The sequence below is a fragment of the Homo sapiens genome, chromosome 6 (assembly GCF_000001405.40).
Source record: "Homo sapiens chromosome 6, GRCh38.p14 Primary Assembly".
NCBI lineage: Eukaryota > Metazoa > Chordata > Mammalia > Primates > Hominidae > Homo > Homo sapiens.
In genome coordinates, this window is record NC_000006.12 from 89,326,625 (window position 1) to 89,353,080 (window position 26,456).

At 40.4% G+C, this 26,456-nt stretch overlaps 1 protein-coding gene across 3 annotated transcripts, besides 4 other annotated features; it reads right to left on the reverse strand.

Moving 5' to 3' along the window:
- On the reverse strand, positions 1-26,098 carry UBE2J1 (ubiquitin conjugating enzyme E2 J1). Of its 3 annotated transcripts, none has more exons than NM_016021.3 (8): positions 25,915-26,098; positions 17,059-17,132; positions 15,700-15,831; positions 11,835-11,919; positions 11,581-11,686; positions 8,678-8,807; positions 6,462-6,581; positions 1-3,333 (listed from the first exon to the last, which is right to left on the reverse strand). In NM_016021.3, the coding sequence occupies exons 1-8, from the start codon at positions 25,943-25,945 to the stop codon at positions 3,055-3,057; spliced, it is 957 nt and encodes a 318-aa protein (NP_057105.2). In that variant the 5' UTR covers positions 25,946-26,098; the 3' UTR covers positions 1-3,054. The 3 variants fall into 3 exon arrangements, with proteins under 3 accessions (NP_057105.2, XP_011534190.1, XP_011534189.1); XM_011535888.4 differs by having other exon boundaries at positions 1-3,363; XM_011535887.3 differs by lacking the exon at positions 6,462-6,581.
- Positions 25,404-26,353: an enhancer, noted in NCBI's record as "H3K27ac-H3K4me1 hESC enhancer chr6:90061747-90062696 (GRCh37/hg19 assembly coordinates)". NCBI's record gives its function as "activates a minimal SCP1, AML or CMV promoter by ChIP-STARR-seq in naive H9 embryonic stem cells {active_cell/tissue: H9 hESC(naive)}" and the evidence as "EXISTENCE:reporter gene assay evidence [ECO:0000049][PMID:30033119]".
- Positions 25,404-26,449: a biological region, named in NCBI's record as "H3K27ac-H3K4me1 hESC enhancer GRCh37_chr6:90061747-90062696".
- Positions 25,650-25,709: a silencer, noted in NCBI's record as "silent region_17389". NCBI's record gives its function as "represses an Ori minimal core promoter by ATAC-STARR-seq in GM12878 lymphoblastoid cells {active_cell/tissue: GM12878}" and the evidence as "EXISTENCE:reporter gene assay evidence [ECO:0000049][PMID:35858748]".
- Positions 25,740-26,449: a silencer, noted in NCBI's record as "silent region_17390". NCBI's record gives its function as "represses an Ori minimal core promoter by ATAC-STARR-seq in GM12878 lymphoblastoid cells {active_cell/tissue: GM12878}" and the evidence as "EXISTENCE:reporter gene assay evidence [ECO:0000049][PMID:35858748]".

The following is a 26,456-nucleotide window of genomic DNA, read 5'->3' on the forward strand; positions in this document are numbered from 1 at the left end:
TATGAGTAAAGTCACTGGTTTTATTGAGCAGCTCAAACTAGTTCTGAAGGCAACTGTTCAGAAGGCGTTCCCAACAGCTTTTGAGCAATGCACAGCCTCCCATAAAACCTTAAAAAGTACATCTGTTAATGTGCACATTAGTCTTTGTTAGTCACGTTCACTAAATGCATTAACCTTACATATACTTCCAATTAAAAAAACACATAGGCTTTTCAGTATTTTGGCCTAGATTTTTGTTCAAATGAGTCCAAATGTGTGAGTGAGGTTTACCTGTTTTCTGATTCTGATCTATAAAAATGGGTGGTCTCAAAAGACCAGAAAGTTTATTCATAGCCAAAAATGACAAAAAGAGTTCTTATTCTCCCAAAATAGGAAATTTTGTATTCCTATAGTCAAAACAATAAACAATTTTTGAAATTAAAAAAGTTGAGAATCTTGAAATTCATTTTTTTCAGTAGAATAAAACAATAAGCAGCATGAAAACGTAAAGTGCTACATAAAAGCCCCACATTACATAAATTTTGAAAAGTTTATTGGCTTAAACAGTTACAGGTGAAACAGATTACGTATTTTTTTTTCAAGCATGCTATTTTAATTACCTTGATATCTCATCATGTGCTATGTTGGTCAAATAAAATGTCATGAGTTATCTAGATCTGAGGATTAAAGAGGAGTCCTCAGCCTTTACTTGCCAGAATATACATCCAGTTTTAGCTGTATGCTGGAATTAAGGAGTTAAAGTAGGGCTTTAAAGATAATAGTTTTCTGAAGAGGCCTTTCAGTGGGGCTTGGACAAAAAGGGCCCCAAAGACCAATTTTGCTCATTAACCTCACACTGGGGATCAGATTGACAACTTAAGGATTTTTAGGGAGCATATGTGAGATCAAAGGGAAGAAGAAAATGGTGCCCCTTTCAGATGGTGCTTCAGGTGCTAAAAAATATCCCAACACAAACAAGCAGGTGGCTAGCTGACAGGTGGGGGAAGAGATGCAAGTCAGATAGCAAAGGATCTGCACAGTGCAAAATCTTCTTGGCTTTTTATTTAACTTAGCAGTGAATGCAGCAGGATTGGCTTAAAGTATAGGTACACCCCATGGAAACATGCAATAAGATCACATCGATCCAGAGGCTGGCTCAAGTTTGACTGAGGGGAAACGGAGGGAAGGCTGTTCCTAGCACACAATCTCAGCAGAGGTTGAGGTGGTGGGGATTTCTTTCTTCTCATATGACGCTACCGTCGGTGACTTCTTACTAGGAGACCACTGAGCACTGAATCAAGGTTTCTAATATGTTTCAAATCAAGATTTTAGAGTGTATTTTCTTATGGCAATAGAGTTATAAAATGGTAACCTATGATTTTCCTCATATAATGAGATCTTCATAAAGTCCTTGAGCTTTTTAGACTTTAACAAATTCAGCTACAGATATAAAAAATAATCTGTAAACACCTTTAAAATGCGAATTTATTAAAGTTTAAGACAATTCTGTATTATATAATAGTGTACAATATGTTCTTATTTTAGATGTAGAAATAAAGGAAAACTGGCTCTCAGATGAAAACAGAAATTGTGTCTGACAGTTAATAGAACGAATGTCCCATAAACAGGAGTAAAAATTAAATTTTCCTTTAAGACGATTTTACAATTATTTCTCTTGTCCATAATTTCACTTAGTTAAAACCACATAAGGACTTTATGAATACCCTCCCCTATACTATTCAAGATATACATATGGGCTAACTTTCGTGGACCGATCTAGAACCTAAATACCACTTCCAACATTGTTTGACTTGTAAAAAAATTAACTTACAAATAACACTTTTGGAGCATAACCTATTTGAAAGCTTGGAACCACCTGTATTTAAAAATTAAATCTTCATTAACAACACCCTCAAGAGTGCCCTCAGTGCTGCGAACTGAACATGCTGAAGGCAATGTTTTTCTGTGATTATATGGTTTCACCAGCCATTATGATGATAATATTATCTACTAGAGTCTGTGGCGCTAGCTAGCACTAAGTTATATATTGATTTTTCCACTGAAAATTCTTTCTTGGGCTCTGACTAGGTGGACAATTCTAAGTAAAGGTTTTTCTAACTTCTATCACTGTTACTTGGGCCCTGAGGTTTTCTATTAAAATAGGACATGAAATATTTCAATATTATGCATATTCCTGGAATAATTAAAATTTATACTGATTATAAAGCTAGGCATATAATACATCCCAAAAGACATACATTTCAAAGCAGACCAAACATTCAAATCTTCAGATCCCCCCATTTAACTTCTGGAAGAAAACCAAGCGATCTCCTGGCTTGGGCCCTTTCTTCCTTAAAAATCTATGGAAGACTGTTTTCTTTCTTTTTAAATTTGTGTGATTATGGCAGCAGAGGGCAGGGGGTGGTGATAACAGCATATCAAAGTGGTTACAAAGTACTCCCTCTTCAAGTAGCATCCAGTGACAAAGATGTGATCTCATTTCCTCATAAATGTTTGACTGAAATAAAATTATTTTCACTGAAGAATGTTTAGGACACAAATAAAGTCACAGAATGAGCAATTCCAGTACATCTCCTATGAATGACATTTTAAGGAAGCTACTTGAGGAGTTTTGCTTTCCCTTTTCAACTCTTCTATCCCTATACATTCTACATACGTAGAAACAGAGTACTCAATAAGTGGTATTGAGTAACTAGTAATACTCATTGGAACTTAAAACATCATCTTTTATCCAAAAATTTCAAAGGGCAATATAGGAAAGTATTACAAATTTACATAAAAAGAAGATGAAACATGAGAAAAAACAAGTTATTTCCCTGCAAAGCAGATCAAATAGTGAGACAAGGAACTTTGACTTCTAGTCCCTTTAAGCAGGACGTAACTGCTAGACACAGTCTGAATGTCTAGATATATTTATACTAAACTTACAAGGATCAAAAAAAGGAATGAAGGGTAAATACAAAATAATCTTTTTGTAAACAATTCTTAGATTATACCCAATGCAGAATGTTTAATGAAGCAGTTGAGTCACAGCTCATAAGTCACAAAACCATATTATAACTCAAAGTCAAATATGTATTCGTTTGCCAGATATATTCGTCGGAATATAAGAGCTGCCAATGCCAAAGTCAGGATGACAATCAGTACAGCTGACCCACCATGATCAGTGTGGTTGTCTCTTGGCTGGTGGCCCTGGATTACATCTGGTGAAGTAGACAACCTTCTCTGACTCTGCTGCTGGGCCCGGCGCTGTCGAGGGCTCATGGAGGTATTCTTAGCTACAGGTTGGGTAGGTTGATGAAAGGATGCTGCTGAGGAATTCTGGAGTCCGTACTAGGAAATTTTAAGAAACTTTGTTTGAAACTGGCAAAGAAGATTTGTAAATACACTTGTTATCTATTCAAGAATACACAATCTCAGAGGACAACATATGACTAAGGGCAACACTACCAAGAATGATTGTTACTAATAATACATCCCTTGAGGGGCATCTAAATTTAGGTTCAAAAAAAAGTCATAAGTTAGGACAGCTTTTTGGCCTTTTAATAGTTTTATTAATATATTTAGAAAAACAATCCCTTAAAACATTGGTCTAGATGATATTTTAACACATACGCTTAATGAAAATATGTATATACATATAATGTTTTAATTAGGTTCCTATGTTTCAGATGCCTTTTGTCTCTATTTTTTTAATCATTATTTTTTTAGAGATGGGATCTTGTTACATTGCCCAGGCTGGTCTTGAACTCCTGGGATCAAGCGATCCTCCTGCCTTGGCCTCCCAAAGTGCTGGGATTATAGGCATGAACCAACGTGCCCAGCCTCAGATGCCTTTTGGATGGTATATCACTAACTAAAAATTAAGTGCCTTGATATTATAAAATTCTAAATTTTTTCCTATTTAAAACAATCATACAGCACTTTGGGAGGTTGAGGCAGGAGGACTGCTTGAGCCCAGGCATCTGAGACCAGTCTGGCCAACATAGTGAGACACTATCTCTACAGAAAAATTTTAAAACTTAGCCAGGTGTGGTCATGCCCACCTGTGGTCCTAGCTACTTGGGAGGTTAAGGCAAGAGGATCACTTGAGCTCAGGAGGTTGAGGCTTCGGTGAGCTATGATCACATGCCTGCACTCCAACCTGAGCAACAGAGTGAGACTCTCCCTTAAAAAGATAAAAAATCACATTCTTAGTTAAGTCCCTAGTGATATATATATAAATTTTTCTAGAATAACCAGCATGTGTGAGGGAGTTTTGCTTTTTATTATAAAATGAAATGGCTTATTCAGAACCTCGATCCCTACCCTGGGAAAAGGAGAAAATCTGACAGACTGCAAGAACAAAACTGCCTTCAGTGTTTTTCCCATTTCTACATTTCCCATTGCTTTTTGATGCTAAAATATCTGCATTAAAAAGCAACAGATGGCCTGATGTTATCTGAGGTATTTAGAGTTGTGGCAATCTCTTGCCTCTCCTTCAGGCTAACAACAACAAAAAAATCATAGCTTATCTGGGATTTGATGTATAACATCTCAATTAATTTATATTATACTTAATGTAAAATAACCACCCTTAGCCAAACCAGGTTTCAGTTACTTTCATAGTGGTCAAATTATATAATCATACTCTGAGATAGTTTATATGTAAATATAATTAAAAACTTAACTTGCAATTTTAGACAATTTATTGCTTGTTGGTATTTTCACTAAAAATAGTCTCAATTAATGACCTGTATCTATGAATAAGAATTCTAAGTTTTATGTACTAAATCAAAACAAGAAATACTACTATAATAACATCATTATTTGTACACTCTAATTTACTTAAACTTCTTGATTTATTTAATTGTATTCTTAGCATTTTTTAAAGTACCAATCCTAAGATTCATTCATTCAATCAACAAACAAACATTGGCAATCTACTATATAGAAGGCACTAAGCCAGGCACTGGGGATACAGTGGAGAAGCGGAAAGAGACCCCTGACCCTCACAGAACTTACATTCTGGGAAGAGAGATAGACAATAAATAATTACAAAGTAAATTACAACTGGAATAAGTATAACTGGAATATGTAACAAGGGGACTTAACATAGATTGAAAATACACAAAAGATTTAAATACATCACAAACATTAGGAGGCTGTCCTAAAAGGTGAAAAAAGATTACCACCTTCCTTTTTGTAATAGAATGCTTCTATTAGAAAAAAAACTATGAAATAAAAAGTAATTAGAAAGCTTTTTCAATATCTTGAACTAAAACATATTGACCTTAAAATTAATTCATTGTTTTCCCCTGCAATTCATAAAATTACATTGGGATCACACAAAAATGATTTAAACTCATCGCTACACACTTTTTTCTTGGACCTCCATCTTCAGTCCCCCTAGACTACCACCCTGTTCTTCTTCAACCAACTTTTCTCTGCCCAGCTCACTCTCTGAATAGGAGAGACTCACTCAAGACTATTCACTCCCACTTTACGTACGTTATTGCTGGGTAAAGGGCAAATCTATATTTGCCCAACTTCTATTTCAATTTTCCCTCACCCTTTAAAGTCTTCAATAAACTGGAGAAACAACAACAAAAAAAATGTGACTACTTAACCAAACAATCTGTTACCAAAAAGACTTCCAAAGACAGTTAATCTTTTATATATAGGAAGGAAAATCATTTTTTTCCCATAATCCTTATTTTTTGGCACCAATCCAGTCATATTTTTTAAATCACTCTCTCTGATCACCTAGGCCAAACAATTTCTTAGACAACAGGTCAGGGCACCACTAACAACACTCATAGCATTCATTCTTTTATTCAACAATTATTTATTGGACACTTAGTATATACGAGGTAGCATTGTCCAACAGAATTTTGTGATGATAGTAATGTTTATGTCTACACTGTCCAATATGGTACCCATTAGCCACATGTGGCTATGGAGCACTTGAAATGTGGTGTGACTGAGGAACTGAATTTTAAATTCTACTTGATTTTGATTAAATTTAAATGTAGACACCTGCATGTGGCTGGTGGCTACTGTGTTGGACAGAGCAAGTCTAAGTAAATTTTTGGCTCTACGACTTTATTAAGTCAGTACCTTAATGCAGCTGAACAATCCTGCCAAAAATAGTGTCTATTTAGAAAGTGGCTAACATATGGATATTTTGTTTTATTCAGTCTAACACTATATTAAAATTAACTTTTCAGAGAATCACAGAATTCTGGAGGGACAAGACAAAAATTATTTAATCCAGCCCCATTTAACAAAAAAAGAAAACTGAGGCCAGAAAGCATGAACAACTTGCTCAACATAATAATTCATTAGCGGGACTGATGAGTTAGAATCCAGTTGTTAAGAGAACCAAATTTTTCAGATATTTGATCCAGGATCTTCTCCTCCTATTGCAAACAGTGATAATGATAGAGACATACATATATATTAAAAGATAAGAGCCATACCGATGTACTGGCCGTAGCACCCTGGAATGTTGTAGGTATATCATCTTGTAAATCAGTTAGTGAAAAAGAGTGGTTTAAGTCTGACTCAGAGATAGTCTTTCCAGATGAATTGACTTCTGCCTATAAACAAGATAGACCCAAGAGCAGTGTGACAACAGGAAACAACAGGAAACATACACAATCTACAACCTGCTAAATCCTCTCTGTTGGATTTATTTTAATTGCTAGTTTAATATCTATTATCAGGCAGTTAATCACTGAGCACTCTTGTGTCCAACACTGTACTAGGTATCATAGGAAGAAGCATACACAACACCTGTTCTCAAGAAGCCGTTACTTGATGAGGGACAAAACTAACACCCATGGTTCACAATCCACAATGCTAAAAAGCTCTCAAAACTCAAGGTTTTTTTGGTAATTTTTAGGCAAAGCCTGATATGAGCTGATGTGAACCTATGAATAGTCTTTATCCCACATTAGTGTAAACATTAATCCCACATTAATGTAATATTCCCAGATTTGCTGAAGAAATCCTAATGGATTTGATTATGAGGTGCTGCCCCAGATCGCACGGCAGGTTAGTTAATATATGGTATATGTAAGATCTTTTCTTAAGTCTGAAAAATTCTCATGTACAAAACACATTTGGTCCTGAGATTTTTCAGAAGCAATTTTAAGTGTAATAGGAATCCTCAGAAGGAAGAAAGTAAACATGTTCTGAGCAACTCCTCCTCCAGGCACTACAATAAAAGAGAAGGGAACTGGACCTGGAAAGACAGACAGTCCATAGAGAAGTGGAGAGGGAAGAGGAAGAGAGCATGCTGCTTAATGCAGGTTGACATTTCTGTTTGTGAAGCTAATTAAATTCCAGAAGGATTAAATACTTAATACTTTACGTCTGTATGTATGTATGTATTTATTTATTTATATTTTTTTGAGATGGAGTCTCACTCTGTCACCCAGGCTGGAGTGCAGAGGCACAATCTTGGCTCACTGCAACCTCCACCTTCCAGGTTCAAGCGATTCTCCTGACTCAGCCTCCCAAGTAGCTGGGATTACAGGCACACACCACCATGCCGAGCTAATTTTTTGTATTTTTAGTAGAGACAGGGTTTCACCGTGTTAGCCTGGATGGTCTCAATCTCCTGACCTCGTGATCTGCCTGTCTCGGCCTCCCAAAGTGCTGGGATTACAGGCGTGAGCCACTGCGCCCAGCTAATACCTTCAATAATTAAATATTTAATACTCAAAGTATTAAAATATTATATAATCCTATGTTCGGGTAAAACATATACAGAAAAAAGGGATATATAGGAGGGATGCCAAAATATTAACAGTAGCTATTTCTTGGCGGTGAGATTATGAATGTCATTTTCTTTTTCTTTTTTCTTTTTTTTTTTTTTGAGATGGAGTTTCGCTCTTGTTGCCCAGGCTGGAGTGCAATGGCGCGATCTCGGCTCACCGCAACCTCTGCCTCCCAGGTTCAAGCAATTCTCCTGCCTCAGCCTCCCGAGTAGCTGGGATTACAGGCATGTACCACCATGCTTGGCTAATTTTGTATTTTTAGTAGAGACGGGGTTTCTCCATGTTGAGGCTGGTCTCGAACTCCTGACTTCAGGTGATCCGCCCGCCTTGGCCTCCCAAAGTGCTGGGATTACAGGCGTGAGCCACCGCGCCCGGCCATCATTTTCTTCTTGTTGCTTATCTATATATTCTGTAATAATAGCTAGAATTTATTAAGCACCAGGGACAGTTCTGAATGCAACACATGTATTACATATATTAATTCAATCCTCACAGCAATCCTATGATTTAGGTACCATTATTATTTATAGATAATAAAAAGGCACAAAGTGGTTAATTAATATGTCTGACATCATACTACTAATAAGCAACAGAGCTGGGATTTGAACCCTGGCATTGTATACCAGAGTTCAAGTTTCACTCCCTCACTATTCTATAAAGCTTTCATGAATGTAGTTAGGAATTTTGTAATAAGAAAAACATTCCATGCCAGTATTAAAACATTTCATGTACCCTATACATATATACACCTACTATGTAACCACAGAAATTAAAAATATAAAAATATGAAAAAAGAAAAACATTGGCAAATGTCATATTGTAATAGAACTGCATCGCTTTCCTTTCTATGCAGAATCCAGCAGTAAACAAAAGGGTTGCAAGATTAGCATTTATTTAAGAATTTATAGTACCTTAAAGCTTATTTGCCTAGCCAGTTCTTTGGCTTCTTGGTCAGCTTGGCTTGAATCGCTTCCAGATTTTAAAGGCAACAGGACATCCTTCATGGCAGAGCCACATCCTTCACAACAGAAATCTTGTGATCTAGTAGAAAAAGATTTTTTAAATGAAAATAAATAGTTAAATGTTTAATTCCCTCTCACTGAGACACTCAAATGCTCGATCATTAAACTTAAAAGAAAGGAACACTGGAAAATTCCACATCACATTTATCCACATGCTATGAATTAGAAAATTAATGTAATGATTATAGTCCTGAGACAAGTAAATGTTAGGCTGGCTTTAAAAAAATCCAGGGCTCAGATGCTATTTTTTCCAATAAACTATCTAAAGAAAAATAAGTTTTACATCTATACAATGAGAAAATTGTCTATTATACTGTCCTTGAGATCACATATAACAAACCTATTTTAAGGCTGTGAAAAAAGTCCTTTAACAAGATCAAATTATCTGTTAGCAGAAATATATATAAAGCAGTAAAGAAACTAATTAAACATAGAATTTACAGATATTTCTAGGGAAAAAAAAACCCCTCACAAATAGCAGTATAACTTGAAAGACTTGGGAGAACTTGCAGAAAATCCAAAGACTTAATTTATTGCTGATTATACATTAGGTAGAGACTCAGGATATGTCTGTTAACTAGATTATTTTCTAAAATATATTTGTTTTTCCATTTTTCCCTTTGTATTCCAGATATAGTCAAAACTTCCTTGAAGTTTACAAGAGTCCTCTGAGGATATGAATGACTGAAAGTAAACATGCATCATATATAAAACATATATTGTTACACTGTTAAACTTCCTTCTAAAAAATTGTTTTTCATAGTACTTCTAGTTCTATTAAAAAACCTTAGGTCTTGAAGAACATGCTATTTAAAATTATGAAATATCATATAAACAAAATATATGTAAAAGTAGCAATAATTTAGTTTTTCTGTTTGTTTGTTTGTTTGTTTGAGACAGGGTCTCCTCGTTCTATCACCCAGGCTGGAATGCAGTGGTGCAATCATGGCTTGCTGCAGCCTCAACCTCCCAGACCCCAGTGATCTTCCCACTTCAGCCTCCCAAGTAGCTAGGACCACAGGTGTGTGCCACCACACCCCGCTAATTTTTATTTTATTTTATTTTTTTTTTTTATTTCATTTTATTATTATTTTTTTTTTTGTAGAGACAGTGTCTCCCTGTGTTATCCAGATTGGTCCAGAACTCCTAGGCTCAAGCGATCCTCCTGCCTCAGCTTCCCAAAGTCCTGGGATTACAAGCATGAGCCACTGTGCCCAGCCTAATTTAGTATTTATTGATGAGTATTTCTTGTTTTACCAGAAGTGGCACTGTTGACCACACACCTTTGAGAATTGGTTATATACAAATTATTTGCTTCAAAATGTATTCACTTTTAACTGAGTCAGATGAACCTTAAGGGGAGTGTTTATTTTGAATGTATTAGTTTATCCACAATGGTAGCATGCTACCACGGTTGAATGCAAAAATCTTTGTTTTTTTTTTTTGAGACAAGGTCTCAACTCTGTCCCACAGGCTTGAGTGCAGTGGCACAATCATGGCTCACTGCAGTCTCAACCTCCCCAGGTCAAGCAATCCTTCCACCTCAGTCTCTAAGTAGCTGAGACTACAGGCACGTGCCACCACGCCCAGCTAATTTTTGTATTTTTTTGTAGAGCTGCAGTTTCGCCATTTTACCCAGGCTGGTCTCGAACTCCTGAACTCAAGCAATCCACCTGTCTTGGCCTGCCAAAGAGCTGGGATTACAAGTGTGAGCCACCATGCCCGGCCCAAAATCATTTTTTAAAAGGTTTCTATTATAGACTGAGAATCTAGAATATACAGTGAGAAGCCTAGAAGAACAAGAACTCCAGTTCTTTTTTTTTTTTTTTTACCTCGCACATGAAATCAACTGGATAAAGGCATCAAGATAAAAAAACCAACGTAGTAAATCGAATGAAAACAAATACTATGTATTCAAAGTACATAGTGTAATCTATGAAGAGCTGTATAAATAAAGTACATACCCATAGTTTGGAAATAAGGTTTAAAAAGAAAAGTTGCTTATAAGACCAAGAAGTCTACCAAATCTTCCAGATGCTAAAATCTAACTGATTTAGCAAATATCTGTAGAGGGCCTACTCTGGGGTGTGCTAGGGTAAAATATGATATAATTTAATTAACATAATATGTCTGAAGGGTGGTAGGCAGCAGACTCCAGAGCAGAAAAATTATCAACATCAAAAATTAGGTATCAGCACTACTCAAAGAGGGGCTACTCTGAATGGAAGGACTGATCTTGGTCATATAGACAAAAGTGCACCTGCACCTGAAAAAAACAGAGAAGGCATCACTTCTCTGTTTGTGATTGCCACTGGGCAATCACAACTTGATAAAATCTCTTTTGCTTTATTCCAGATCATTTATTAAGCACTTGCTATGAGCTAGATGCAAAGATGGATAAAGTGGATTACCTCTTGGCCCTCAAGAGGTTTGTAATCTTGTGGAAAGCTACAAATAATTGCTCTGGTTCTTTTCCATCTATAATGCCATAGTGGAAACAAATGACTGGTATTGTTTTCCAGGAGAATATATCTCCCACTGAATTTTTTAAAAATAGTGAAATAGTATCAACTACTTTTTAAGACTAGATAGCATTAAATAAATTACTTAGATTCTGGTCACTCCAAGGAAATTATTACAACTGAATTCCTAAAAGAGCAAAACTGAGATAAGATCCTGTAGCTACAGTCACTCAGAAAATAAGTCACATAGTAAGAGGTAGGCCCTACCTCCTAATAGCCATTACCCTGAATACTATTCAGACCTCAAGAAGAATGAAATGCAAAACTTACTTTTTGGCAAGTGCTCTTCTTTCCTCAGGAGTGTAATCTAGAGAACCTATGGCTCCCTCTCCTTTTGTTGGCATAAACCCAATGATGGCTAATAATGCTGTCCTTACTGAAATAAAAAAGTAAATATCAATCTAAATTGCTTTGTAAAAGCAACTGGGTTTATTCTGGAAAAAGAAAAAATCAGAGTATTATACTTCATAACTATGAATTGACTGAAGTTATGAGATTTATATTCACTATAAATTAACACTTACTACTCCACGAAGGCTGCCAAGTTTCAGGATGATGGCCTGAGATGCTCAAACAGATTTTCTTGCCCACTTCAAATCGACCATTAGCCTGAGGAATAAACAATGCATTTAGAAAATTAAATACATGTGCTTAATGTTTATACTTTCTGTAAAAATATACTATTTATATATAATAATTTTAGAGATTATCTTAAAAAGTTTGTTTTTTTTTTTTTTTTTTTTTTTTTTGAGATGGAGTCTCGCTCTGTCACCCAGGCTGGAGTGCAGTGGTGTGATATCAGCTCACTGCAAGATCCACCTCCCGGGTTCACGCCATTCTCCTGCCTCAGCCTCCCAAGTAGCTGGAACTACAGGCGCCTGCCACCAGGCCTGGCTAATGTTTTGTATTTTTAGTAGAGACGGGGTTTCACCGTGTTAGCCAGGATGGTCTCGATATCCTGACCTTGTGATCTGCCCACCTTGGCCTCCCAAAGTGCTGGGATTACAGGCATGAGCCACCGCGCCCGGCCAAAAAGATTTTTTTTTAAATGTAACCTCTCATGGGACACAGATTTTTTGTCCTTATAGACTCCAAAAATACTTGTTGGATGCTGAATAATAAAAGCTGTTTTTAGAAGGTGTTTTACAGCACCTTTTGAAACTGAGTTGCACAAGTGAAATCTAAATAATTAACATGTAAAGTTTTACTGGCCAGCGAAGTGGCTCACGCCTGTAATCCTAGCACTCTGGGAGACTGAGGCAGGAGGATCACTTGAGGCCAGGAGTTCAAGGCCAGCTTGAGCAACTTAGTGAGACACTGTCACCAAAAAAAGAAAAGAAAGAAAATTAGCCAGGAGTGGTGGCATGTGCCTCTAGTCCTACCTACTTGGGAGGCTAAGACAGGAAGATTACTTGAGCCCAGGAGTTCAAGGCCACAGTGAACTATGACTGCATTGCTGCATGCCAGCCTGGGTGACAGTGTGAGACCCTGTCCCCAAGAAAAGAAAAAAAAAGAGGAGAGGAGGGGAGGAGAGGGGGGGAGGGGGGAGGAGAGGGGATGGGGGAGGAGAGAGGGGAGGGGAGGGGGGAAGGGAGGGAAGTGGGGAGGGGAGGGGGGAAGGGATGGGGAGGGAAGAGGGGTGGGGAGGGGAAGGGGGAAGGAGAGGGGGGAAGGAGAGGGGAGGGGGAAGGGGAGGAGGGAAGGAGTGGGGGAGGGGAGGGGAGGGGAGAGGATTTACTAATGTCCTACCCTGTGCCTAGTATGGAGCTAGGCTCAGTTAAGAATCTAAAAGAGGCCAGGCATGGTGACTCATGTCTGTAATCCCAGCACTTGGGAGGCTAAGGTAGGAAGGTCACTTGAGGCCAGGAGTTTGAGACCAGCCTGGGCAACAAAGTGAAACCCTGTCTCTACAAAAAATAAAAATAAAAAAAATTTAGCCAAGCGTGGTATGTGTGACTATAGTCTCAGCTACTCAGGAGGCTGACGTGGGAGGATCATTTGAGTGTGGGACATCAAGGCTGCAGTGAGCTGTGATCATGCTATTGGACTCCAGCCTGGGTGACAGAGTGAGACCCTATCTCAAGTTAAAAAAAAAAAAAGAATCTAAAAGAGAAGACATTCAAGAGGCCAGGACGAAACCTAAGGACTCAGTATCACCTAACTAGATGTTAGTGAGGAAAGACATGGGGAGAAAGGCTCTGAGAGAGGTGTGATTTTCAGAGGAGTGATGAATGAAAGGATAAATAAATACTTATTGAATGAAAGTTGGAGAAGACTTTTCAAAAAAGAAGTGAACCAGAAAGAGTGTAATGTTGAAAATCAGGGCTGATTCTCAGCCAGTGTGGTTAGTATGACCATACCATTGGCTAACTATTGAAATATACCTGTATTTGTTGGTAAAGAGCTGCTGCTAACTACTGTCCTCCACCACCACCAGTCTCCCCATGCACCAGCCCCTCCCTCCCCGAAGACCACTTAGCTCTCCCCATGATCTAGCAACTAAATAAAATGACTCCTGACACAGTAGAGTGTCTCCAGGACCCTGCTCCAACTCTACTGCCAGCATTAGCAGTTCTCTATATCAGCTAATACTTATTAAGCAGCTTCTATATGTCAGGTACTTTATGGTGTGATTACAATTACCAAACACAACATTCATTTTGACTGATGAGAAAACAATTTTAAAGACATTGTGTAACCCACCCATAGTGTAATGGAAAGAGCACCAGTCAGAATCTAGGCCTATTGGCTCTTAAACAAATGTTCTCTCTGTTATACAAAATAGAGGTAAAAGCAGCATTAATTTGGTATTTATTTATTTATTTATTTATTTATTTATGTTTTTTTTTTTTGAGATGGAGTCTCGCTCTGTCGCCCAGGCTGGACTGCGGACTGCAGTGGCGCAATCTCGGCTCACTGCAAGCTCCGCTTCCCGGGTTCACGCCATTCTCCTGCCTCAGCCTCCCGAGTAGCTGGGACTACAGGCGCCCGCCACCGCGCCCGGCTAATTTTTTGTATTTTTAGTAGAGACGGGGTTTCACCTTGTTAGCCAGGATGGTCTCGATCTCCTGACCTCATGATCCACCCGCCTCGGCCTCCCAAAGTGCTGGGATTACAGGCGTGAGCCACCGCGCCCGGCCTAATTTGGTATTTATTGATGAATACCTGTTGTTTCACCATTTGCTACTCCGTGTGGGTAAGATGTTTAACTGAGAACAGGATGAAGGCTGAGGAGAAGCAGTGAGATTTCTCAAACTGGTCTCTGAGATTGGTGTAGTTTCATGTTTCAACAGGGCACTATGTGTGGAAGGTGGACTGCAGCAGGCCAAACTACGGAAAGGATGCCTTGGAGGTTACCAAAGAGAAAAATAGGCACAGCTTAAAGTGATAACAGATACAGGGAATGGTTTTTGTGTTTGTTTTTGCTTTTTTCAAGGTTAGGGGATAATTAAACATAGTTAAAGGAAATGAGAGAAGAAAAGCTTAACAATTAAAGAGGAATTAGATCAATAGTTTTCCTTGGCCAGGTATGATGGTGACACCTGTCATCCTAGCACTTTGGGAGGCTGAGATGGGAGGACTGCCTGAGGCCAGTAGTTCAAGACCAATGAGACCATGTCTCTACCAAAAAACTTTTTAATTAGCTGGGTGCAGTGGCATGTGCCTATAGTCCCAGCTACTCAGGAGGCTGAGGTGGGAGGATAGCTTGAGCCCAGGAGTTTGAGGCTACAGTGAGCTATGATCGTGCTACTGCGCTCCAGCCTGGGCAACAGAGAAAGACCGTGTCTCTTAAAAAAAAAAAAAAGTTTTCCTTCACATGAAGAAAAGATGTGTAAATTTGGAGAGAAAGAGAGAAAATCTGAGATATAAACAGTAATAATAATGCTAACACTTATTGAGTATTCTGTGTCAGGCTCTATTCTAAGAGCTATACAATAAGATCTTGATACTTTTCATCCCACATAAACTCAATGAGGTAGGTATCATTATTCTCATTGTAAAGATGAGAAAACTGAGGAAGAGAGTGTAAGAAAGGTGGGAAGTTAAAGGAGACAATATGATTACAAGGTACAATAACATTAGCTACCCTTTAGTGAGTACTTATGAAGTGCCAGATGTGTATGCCCAGCACTTGGCATATATTAATTCATTGAATCCTAACAACCATGATATGACATTTATGCATTCAGTTGTATCATTTTTACTTCTCAGATGCATCAGCTTCCTAGGAATTATTTTGGAGGAAAAAAATTGTAGTCCCAGGGCCTGGACCCCAAAAGCAAAATTATACTGTTCTATTATTTCTTAATGAAAATGATTTGCTTACTATATTTTGCAGCTACCAGGAAGAGTGAAGCCACAAGCACTCTAAAAATCCAAAATTCTTACCGTTAGGAGAATAATGCTTGGTGGTTTCATGGGATACTCTGGTGGCAGTACTATCCGCCCGTGATAAACTCCTCCATCAAAATCGGAGTCTGGGGGCCCTCTAACCGTGAAGTGCCATTCAAAAAGGTTATCCTGAACAAAAACAATAATCCACAAGGAATTAATAATATTGAAAAGTTTGATCATTTTATCTGAATATTAGAAATATTACCAAGCAAGAAAAATTAAATGCTTTATATTATTGCTAGTATAGTTTCTAATGCATGAGATGTCTCGAGACTATAAGTGATAAATTAAATTTATAAGTAAAAGCTATTTAATCTAGCTTTCATGTTCCATTGAGCTAAAATATTTTATAATAAACACATTAAAAATTTCTGAGTGTTGTTATATATTCATAAGTAACTTACAGGTTTAAATTGGAAATTAATCCTTGAAAGAATAGCAAATTATGATAATTATATAATCAAAAAATTACTATGTTTGGGTTATTTTAACAAATCTTTAAAAATTATCCCTTATAGATGCCTAAGAGCTTATTTATAAAATGGTAATACTAATGTATTTAATGTCATCTTACAGTTACCATGTACTTTTCAGTTTACAAAATACTTGCACTTAAGTTATGATATTTTTATTCCCACTGTTACCATGAAAACCTGCCTGGGTATATTTAAATACCCTCCTTTTACAAATGAGAAGACTGAGAGAGGCCGAGATGTTTATACAAAAAGCCTTGAGTAGCTACGGAGACCCATCAAAAGGCTTCCAAACTGTAAAGTATCTGGGGTTCTTTCCACCTCCCCTCCCTCAGACTCAAGATCTAACCTCGGCCGGGTGCAGTGGCTCACGCCTGTAATCCCAGCACTTTGGGAGGCCAAGGCGGGTGGATCACGAGGTCAGGAGTTTGAGACCAGCCTGACCAACATGGTGAAACCCTGTCTCTACTAAAAATACAAAAATTAGCCGGGCGTGGTGGTGGGGGCCTGTAATCCCAGCTATTCAGGAGGCTGAGGCAGGAGAATTGCTTGAACCTGGGAGGTAGAGGTTGCAGTGAGCCGAGATCACATCACTGCACTCCAGCCTGGGCAACACAGTGAGACTCCGCCTCAAAAAAAAAAAAAAAAAAAAAAAGATCTAACCTCAACTTAGCATCTGAGACCCATTTTATAAAGACCACAAAATCCGTTTCTTCTAAAGTGATTTGGAATGGCTAATGAAATATTCATGAAATATGGTGAATAAAACGTCAAACTACATCACACACATCTGTAATGACTCAAAGCAATGAAAAGCAATTTTAAAAAATTTGTTTTAAATATTAAAATCCATATGAAGAACATGGAGATAGAAACTAACCTCTAAAGGCTGCGCATGGTAATGATCTGTTGGATCTTTCAATTCTGCCGCTTCTTTCATTAAACGTTTAACAGCTAAAATAAAATTCATAAAATAGAGATATTTAAAATATACTTTTCTGAATGATTAGCACAGTCTTACGAGCCTAATGAAAAAATGTGTAGAGAACTAGTGCAAATGAGCATATGGCAAAGGTTTAATTATAAGATTATGGGAATAAATAGAGGGGGAGAGGAAGGAAACAGTTGCTAGGCATTAACACTTTAAAAGAGTTATATATTAAATATATAGTGAAGACACTATTTTTATTTAATAAGTACTTATATATACTTCCTATATGGTGGTATTTATTGAAGTGCTTTTACAGACATTAATAACTCATTTAACCCTTAATACAACATTACTAGATAGGTATTATTTTTATCCCCATTTTCCAGATGAAGAAGCCGAGACACGGAGAGATTATATAGTCACACAGCTAGTAAATGACAGAGATGGGATTCCAACACAGGCAATTTGGCTCTACCTGTTAAAATGTCTTTATTAACAAAAAATGTATTCTCTGGATCTCATGCTCGGTGAACAGGAAACACCTCTATATCCTCCAACTCTTGGGACTTTCCATCCACTATCTTGCATTAAATGAATGGACTGTCCCCTGAATTCACTGACTCTCCAAAGCCCCGATGAAATTCCTTCTTGAAATGATCCTTCAGCTTCACTAAAACCTCCAGTCCACTGACCCCACAACTTTCTTCACCCCTCCTATACTTATATTCATTTTCCTCTTTATCCACACCCTTGGCTCTTAGGAGTCCCTCTTGTACACTCCCTTAATAAAATCCAACTGTGCCTGACCCAACCCAACCATCTTATTTGCTGTCTATACCCAAACAGCTGAGCATCACTGAAAGGAGGAAAAAAAGTCAGAGAGGATGGTGCAGTAATGCCATTACAAGTCATTACCAACAACCTCTACTGGGATACAATGCCACCTAATGTCCCCACATTTCTCTAGTAGGCCTTCCAGCCTACTCTTTCCACCTAGCACTCCAAGATTATTTCCCACCTAGTCTAATTTCTCCTCTCTTTCAGTTAATGGCACCCAGCTTTTTATCTCCCTGATGAATGACTGCTAGCAGGAGCTGCTCAGATGCCTATCACAATCTACAATCCTATCTGTATCTGCACCCTCTGTCTTCTATTGGCTCTCAAAATTCAATCCTTTGATATGCACTCTGGATCCCAACCCCTCTCATTTCAAGCTTTTGGTGCTAAAACATGTCAGGATACTGCAGTGGGATGGCTGAGTTAGGGAAAAGGCTTCTCAAAACTGGGTTTGCAACCACTGATGTAGCTCAAAAGAGAGGTATGCACCAGATGCTGGGAGGACAGGCTGGGCATCTAACTTTAGAGCAAATGGAAGAGAAAAGGAGTCAGGTACTGAATGTGAAAGAAATAACAGTAGAAACTCCCCAGGTAGATATGAATAGGAAGAGGTAATAATAAAAGTAAAATGTGTAGAGGCACAGGTTGGAATGTTATGGGGAGAGAGATTAACTGAGAAGGAACCCCTACATGTATATAACCACAATGGTTTGGTATGTATCAAGACTTTTGCATAAAATTGCATTTGAGGCCAGGCGTGGTGGCTCATGCCTGTAATCCTAGCACTTTGGGAGACCGAGGCGAGTGGATCACCTGAGGTCAAGAGTTCGAGACTAGCCTGGCCAACATGGTGAAACCCTGTCTCTACTAAAAATACAAAAATTAGCCAGGCATGGTGGCGGACGCCTGTAATCCCAGCTACTCGGGAGGCTGAGGCAGGAGAATCGCTTGCACCCAGGAGGTGGAGGTTGCAGTGAGCTGAGGTCGTGCCATTGCACTCCAGCCTGGGCTTCAGAGAGAGACTATCTCAATAAAACAAACAAACAAACAAACAAAACCAGGCACGGTGGCTTAGGCCTGTAATCCCAGCACTTTGGGAGGCCGAGGCAGGTGGATCACCTGAGGTCAGGAGTTTGAAACCAGCCTGACCAGCATAGTGAAACCCCATCTCTACTAAAAATACAAAATTAGCCTGGTGTGATGGCACATGCCTATAATCCCAGCTACTAGGGAGGCTGAGGCAGGAGAATCGCTTAAACCCAGGAAGTGGAGGCTGCAGTGAGCTGAGATCGTGCTGTTGCACTCCAGCCTGGGCAACAAGAGCGAAACTACGTCTAAAAAAAAAAAAAAAAGCCCTCCAGGCCGGAGGGCAGTGGTACGAACACAGCTCACTCACTGAAGCCTCAACCTCCCAAGCTCATGCAGTCCTCCCACCTTGGCCTCCCCAATAGCTGAGACCACAGGCATGCACCACCATGCCTGGCTAATTTTTAAATTTTTTGTAGAGCTGGGGTCCCCCTGTCTTGCCCAGGCTGGTCTCGGGCAATCCTCCTACCTCAGCCTTCCAAAGTGCTGAGATTACAGGCGGGAATCAGCATGCCTGGCCAAAAAAAAGTTGTTACTATCCTACTTCACAATTATTAATATTCTTTTCCATTTCTTACTCTGAACTAAGCCCCTATATGCAGAGACTTTGTTCACTGGATCATCAACTATTTCTTGAGTTCCTACTAGGTACTAGATGCTACAGCTTCATGCGTAAACAAAATATGGCTTTGGTCACTAAAGACTGACGGCTGGGAGGTGCAGTCAATACAAAACAGAATGATAAATGCTATATTAGAAATATGTACATACTGAGACACCCTCTCCCTCCAAGTCTAGAGACTGGGCTTTGGTCAATTCCCTGAACACACTTTACCTCCCCTCCACTCTCAGCCTTTCTATACAGCTTTCCTCAGGGCCCAGGCTGCTCCGGCCCCATCCTCCGCCTCACCGTCTAGTCTGGCTACCCTAGACCTTTAAGTAACTTCTCAGGAATGTCTCTATGACACCTTCCCTGGTTGCCCCCTGCCCCCCACCCCCTACAGTGCTTGGAGATTTCAATCTGGGCAGATCAAAATCTCTGAGGCGTCCTAGGGAGGGGTAGAGACTAGGAATGCTCTCTGAATTACTCTGGTTAGGTTTAGAAACCACTGCCCTAGAGACCAGGTTGAGTCTCCTTGCTCTATGCCATCATAACACTGTATTTTTCCTCTTATGAAGTTCATCTCACTTGTAATTACTTGTTTAATATCTGTTTTTCCTGCTAAGCAATAGTAATGACAGTGTAGCTGTAGCAGTACAGTCTCCTCAGGGCTTAGCACATGGTAAGTACTCAAATATTAGTTGAATTAAATTTTACTATCTTCTCTCAACATAGCTCTCAGAATCCGATTAAAGGCAATGGTTTTTAAACTTACTTAATAAAACAATTAAACTTATTTAATAAAACAAAATCCTTCATTCAAAGAAAGCTTAATGAGAACCCCAACAGGTGAAACAAAAACCACAGAGCCGCTTTGGTTGCAGAGGCCAGTGGAAGGGCCTGCGGACTATCTACTCCCTGTCCTTCCATTTCACTCCTGAAGGGACCCATAGAACAAAGATGGAAAACCCTGCTTTAAAGCCACATAAACATATCATTCCTTTAAGTTAATATTATTAGATAGAAATGCAATTATGGAAGCTGTTATGAAGTTAATTAGTTTGGAGATGCCAAAAAGATTGTTTTTCCTTCATTCCTCGTCAACTGGCTGAACTCAATAATGATTAAGCTGAAGTCAGATTTTATGTCATTCTATACCCTTATCGCATTTTCTCTGCCTCTTCCCTACTCAGTTCAGTTCAACAGGAGAGAAGAAAATAAACACTCAAAACTTGTACCTGGATATTATGAGAGATGTATAAAGGGTCAGAATTGTTATAAGAATGTATCTGTACCAATCCTGTAAAGGAACAATCATTGGTTCAACAGCTAAATAGCTAATTAGTTCATAAGTCACTCAGGCACATACCATGTAAGAGCTAAGGTCATGTAGCCAAAAGGTGAGATTAGTCTCTTGTTTCCATAAGCTATTTTTTTTGCAAAAATAACATATATTATGAATGCTTCAGTGAAAAGAAACAGGGACTCGATTTAGAGCTGCATTAAAATTCTGACTCTGACATTTTGTAGCTCTAAGTCCTTGAACAAGTCACTTGATCTGATGTTTACATCTGTCAAATAAGAGTCAATAATTTCTCCACAAAATTCTCCTTTCCTTTTCACCCCTCCTTCCTGCCCAGTCCCTGAGTCATTAAGGTTGAAAATGGACTGGTATATAAGGCCTTCTCAATGATTCTTCCTAACTCAAAACCATGCCTCAGCAGATTTCGCTGGCCTTATGATATGGCTCCCTGGCTCCTGAGGAGAAATACCACTGTTAGGAAACAGTCATGGTTCACAGTGCTGCCTGGCAACCGGGCTACAGCATAGTCTGCCCCTCCTGATACTCCATCTCTTGCTTCTACATGGCTAGAGAGGAAACTTTTATTCCAGCTCCTCTCCTATCTCTTGGAAAGGTTTTTCCATGGAATCCTTTCACTGTGGTGAGATAAGATGTGCCAGGAAAGGAAGGGGTGGCACCTGGATGCCTGCTCTTGTTCTTCTTTCTTATAGAGGCCACATGGACACTCTGGAGCCATGCTCTAGGTGCTGTGGGCCTAGGCATTAGCATTCTTCACACACCTTGGCTAGCTCACTAGCCTCACATTGGGGTTTGTATACAGCTAAAAATAAAGGGATCTTCTACAGGCCACTGCTTCCCATATATGGATTCCTCTTCAAAAGCAATTATCTTGATATTATCAATTCCCAAAGCATGAGTGAAATGCAGGAGACAGGTATATTAAGGAAGGCATGCTCCCTAACTGCCTCTTCCTGCTCCCATAATGAAGGTACTTAAGCAAATGCCTACAGAGTGATGTTTCTGCCCAGGAGGACCCTGCAAATGTATCAGTTCAACAAACATTTAAAGAATGTCTGAGTGTTGGAGATAAAACAATGACCAAGACCTGCTTCTTGTCTTCCGTAACAGTCAGTAGAGAAAGACATGAAAATAATTACAACCAAGTGGTAATATTGACCAAGTATATATGTACAAGTATATATAGGAACTACTTTAGTCTGCCTAGGGGAGCTAGACAAGGCTGAACCTTAAAGCTTGAAGAACTATAGGAATTTCAGATGGATTTAAAGGAAGGCATTCTAAGCAGAGGTTCCAACAGGAACCAAAGCACCTAAGTGAGAAAAGCTACTCCAGCTAGAGAGTCATTCAGGCAAAATGGATAGGTAAAAACGCAGGCCTGGTGCAGTGGCTCTCACCTGTAATCTCACCACTTTGGGAAGCCAAGGTGGAGGGAACACTTGAGCTCAGGCGTTTGAGACCAGCCTGGGCAACATGGTGAAACCCTCGTCTCTACAAAAAATACACAAATTAGCTGGGTGTGGTGGCACACACCTGTGGTCCCTGCTACTCGGGAGGCAGAGGTGGAAGAATCACTTCAGCCCAGGAGGTTGAGGCTGTAGTGAGCTGTGATGGCACCACTGCACTCCAGGCTGGGAGACCCTGCCTCAAAAAAAAAGAAAATGAGGAAGAGCATAAGAGTGGTGGACAGTGAGGCTGGTGAGGAAGGGCAGGGTCAATCATGAGCAGCCCTGTAGGCCAAGCTAAGCAGTTTACTTTGAACTTTATTGACAGCTATCAGAAAGCTACTGAAAATTTTTCAATTTGGGGGTAATCAGTTTTTGTTTTGATTGATCTGGTGACAACAGTGACTGATTAGATATATGTGTTTCTGTGTGTGTATTGAGTTGTGTGTTTCAGGGCAGGGATGGAGCAAGGAAGCGACCAAGAAATAAAAAATGACTCCCATAGGTGCCTGAGTGCTGTCTATCCCTGAGATATGAAATACTAGGGTAAACTGCAAGTTTAGGGGAGGAGAAGAAAACTGATGAGTTTTGTCTTTATACTTACAGAGATTTTTTTCACTCTATGGGAAATGAAGATGTTGAGTCACCATAAGTTCTGTGTATCTATAGCTTACGAGAAGGGCCTGAGTTGGACATGAAACCTTGAGTGGATTAGTGGGAAGGTGCAGTTGACACCAATGGCATGGATAGGTAACTCTTAGACTTCTGGTGGAGGCAGTGGGTACTTTTGCACCAGTCTCTTATACTCCCACCACCTGCTGCACATGTCAATGGCCCCCTGATGAAGAAGCTGCCAAAGGAGGTGCTTTATACACATTTCTTCACTTTGTACTATAAGACCCTACTTCCTTGGCCAGAGCAGACCCAAACACGGGTCAAGTAGCTTGATCCATAGACAACTATTGACAGATTATAGACAAGTAGCATGATCCATAGACAACTACTGCTACTACAGTAGCAGATCCATAGACAACTACTGACAACTACCACAGACAACTACTGTGAGGTGATCCTACACAACAGCTCTATCCATAATCACAAGTCCATTCCAAAAAAAAACCATAAAGCAAAAAGTTTCCCCACCTATGAAATGAAAAAATTTACTATATCCACATGCTAGTACACTGGCCCTTAACCAGCTATCTGTATTGTCTTCACTTAATCTTTCCACTCATACATCAAAGACAATCCCACATCAGATAAAGAGTAAAAGATTATATCCCTCACATTGTGTGGTTGTTTTTTGTTTGTCTGGTATGTTGGTATTTTACGTGTGTGTGTGTGTGCACCCTGCCATACACAGGAAATTGGAGTTTTCAGTTGCTCCCCTTCACACAGGCATTACTCTAAAAATACCACAGGACTGAGAATAAAGCAAAGGAAGGAAGTATTTTCACAATGCCTCCCAGCATTTTCAGTAAGTCCCATATCTTACCTAATTCAACTTCTCCATGAACTCCAAATAATTCACACACTAACAAAAATAGATTTTTAAGAAGCATTGTGTTTTTTTTTTTAGAGCAGCAACACTATCTTTGAGGAAATGAAACCAGAAAAAGGAAGCAATTTATGACACAGCTAGAAGCATGTCAACCAAAGCTCAACCAGCTGACAATAGTTCACATACTTTGGAAATATACAAAATTCTGGAGATTTTTAAAAGCTTATCATCATAGTATTAAGTCTAACCTATCGAAATTGAGCGATGTTTTCTGACAACAATCTCTTGGGTTCCACCAGTTCTCCATTCTAAACTGCACTACTACTCACATGTGCATTATCCTCTGGACCTTTCACTAAGCACCTCTGCTGTCCTAAGGAACCGTGTGACCAGGGAGCCACCATACATTTTTACCCAAACAGCTCCAGTTAAATATACCACAATGTAAATAATTCAATCATTTTACCATCTAGCTTAAAAATTAAGCTTTTCTTTCCCTCTTTCTCTTTGGTCTTTTCTTCCTCCCTCCCCACCCCGGGATTCTCTTTTTTTTTTTTTTTTTTTTTTTTTTTTTTGAGATGGAGTCTCGCTCTGTCGCCCACACTGGAGTGCAGTGGCGCGATCTCGGCTCACTGCAACCTCCTCCCCGGGTCAAGCCATCCTCCTGCCTCAGCCTCCCGAGTGGCTGGAACTACAGGAGTGCGCCACCACCATGCCCGGCTGATTTTTGTGTTTTTAGTAGAGACGGGGTTTCACCATGTTGGCCAGGCTGCTCTCCACCTCCTGGGCTCAAGCCTCCCAAAGTGCTGGGATTACAAGCGTGTGCCACCGTGCCAGGTCTTCATCAGATTTTTTTAAGGAGTCAGTGGCTCCTAAAATATTATGACCAGTTCTACACACTTGGTCACCTAAGGACATTTCTTAGCCTGACAGCACTCAGGCTAACAAAGCTCCCTCCAATCAATATCCTCAGGCTTTTCTGGGGTTTTTGCATATTCTGAAACCTTACAAAAAACCCAAAGATTCACAGTGTCAACTCTTTCCACAAGGATGCTAGTCTTGCTAATTCCTACTGAGAAACAGCTTTTTTTGGAAGGAAATTTTAAGCAACAGCAAAAGTTGGTGAAATCATCACTAATATCCTAGAGTTTATCATGCAGAGTTAACTGTGGAGTTTCTTCCCCCTGACAAAATGTATCAAGGTACAGATAGAAAAAATACCATTTAGAGGATCCAATGATTCATTTCAAGCCTGTTTTATTAAGCTGAGAAAGCTAGTTGCTTATCTTTATAATGCACCAGAAAGTAATTAGAGGCTAGGATTGCTGGGACTGCTTGTGTAAATATAAAGCAGGATCATTAAATGCAGGAAAGGAATCGCTACGACTGAATACAGATACATTTCATATTAGCCAGTCTGGCAAAAATCAAGGTTAGCTCTCAAGAACAGGGCTCAACGAGGTGTTTTTTTGTTGTTGTTTTGTTTTGCTTTAGCTCTATAGTTAACTGGTTTAGTTACAGAACATTTCCTTTATGTCTGTAATTGTATTCGCCCAAGTGCTGCAAATAGGATATTTAAACGACCAACTCCTCAAATGTGAGTAAATCAGCCGGCAGTAAATAGAAGTAAATAGAAGTCCGGTGGCAGCGACAGGGAGGGAATAGCGACCAGGTACAGCGAGGGGGTTGATGACTATCGCCCACCGACATCACCTTTACACCTGTTCTCAGGGATGAGTTTCTGACCCAGCTCTACGGGACCAGGCGAAGATGAGAAAAGGGAGAGGCTGGGTGCTGCGGGGCGCGCTGGCCGGCCGGGGGATTGGCAGCGGACGTCCACCCGGCCACCTCGCCCTGCGGCCTGTACTTCCCGGGCAGGCGGCGGTCTCGCGTAGAGCGCGAAACCAGGAGCTGAGCCGCGAGTGGCGCCAGACGCGAGGGGACCGAGGCGGCGACCACCCCGGGGTCCAGGGTCACTCCGCCCTCCTCGCCCAGGGGCCCCAGCCCTGCTCACCCGGACTCTTCAGGTTGTAGCGGGTCTCCATGGTGGGTCGCTGGCTTGGCTCCGGCCTCCCGGGCCGCTGCCACCTCCTCTCCACGCGGCCGCTGCCCGGGTCTCAGCGCGGCTCGGGCGGACGGGGCCTGGCCGAGGAGCCTCGGCAAATGCCGCCCAGTCCAGCCTGGACTGCGGGCGGGGTGGCAAGGCTGAGTGCGGGCGAGGCGCTCGCTTCGCGATGGCGCCGCCTCCTCCACTGCGCCCCCGCCTCCCTGAGTGCCTGGCAGGCACCGGCGCCGGCCGGGGCGGCGCTGAACCGGGCGCCCGGGCTGGAGGTCAGCCTCCTCGGGTAGTCGCAGGCCCAGCCCTGCCGCGGCCGCCCGGCTTGCGTCACCCGCCCTCGTCCGGGATTTGTGAAGTTGCCCTGACGTGGCAGTAGCTTCGTGGCGGTCGGTCACTACCCAGCCGCCGCCCGCCCGGCGAAGCCGGCTTGGGGAGGTGCAGGAGCGAGCGGCGTCCTCGTCCTCTCGTCCCGGCCCTGCCCGCTGTAGGCGAGGTCC

Coding starts and splice junctions, on each gene's coding strand:
- UBE2J1 (NM_016021.3), bottom strand. CDS start 25,945: ATGGAGACCCGCTACAACCTGAAGAGTCCGG. Junction 11,920..15,699: donor CAAGCATTATTCTCCTAACG/GTAAGAATTTTG, acceptor TTTATTCCTCAG/GCTAATGGTCGATTTGAAGT. Junction 3,334..6,461: donor GTGCTACGGCCAGTACATCG/GTATGGCTCTTA, acceptor AAAATTTCCTAG/TACGGACTCCAGAATTCCTC.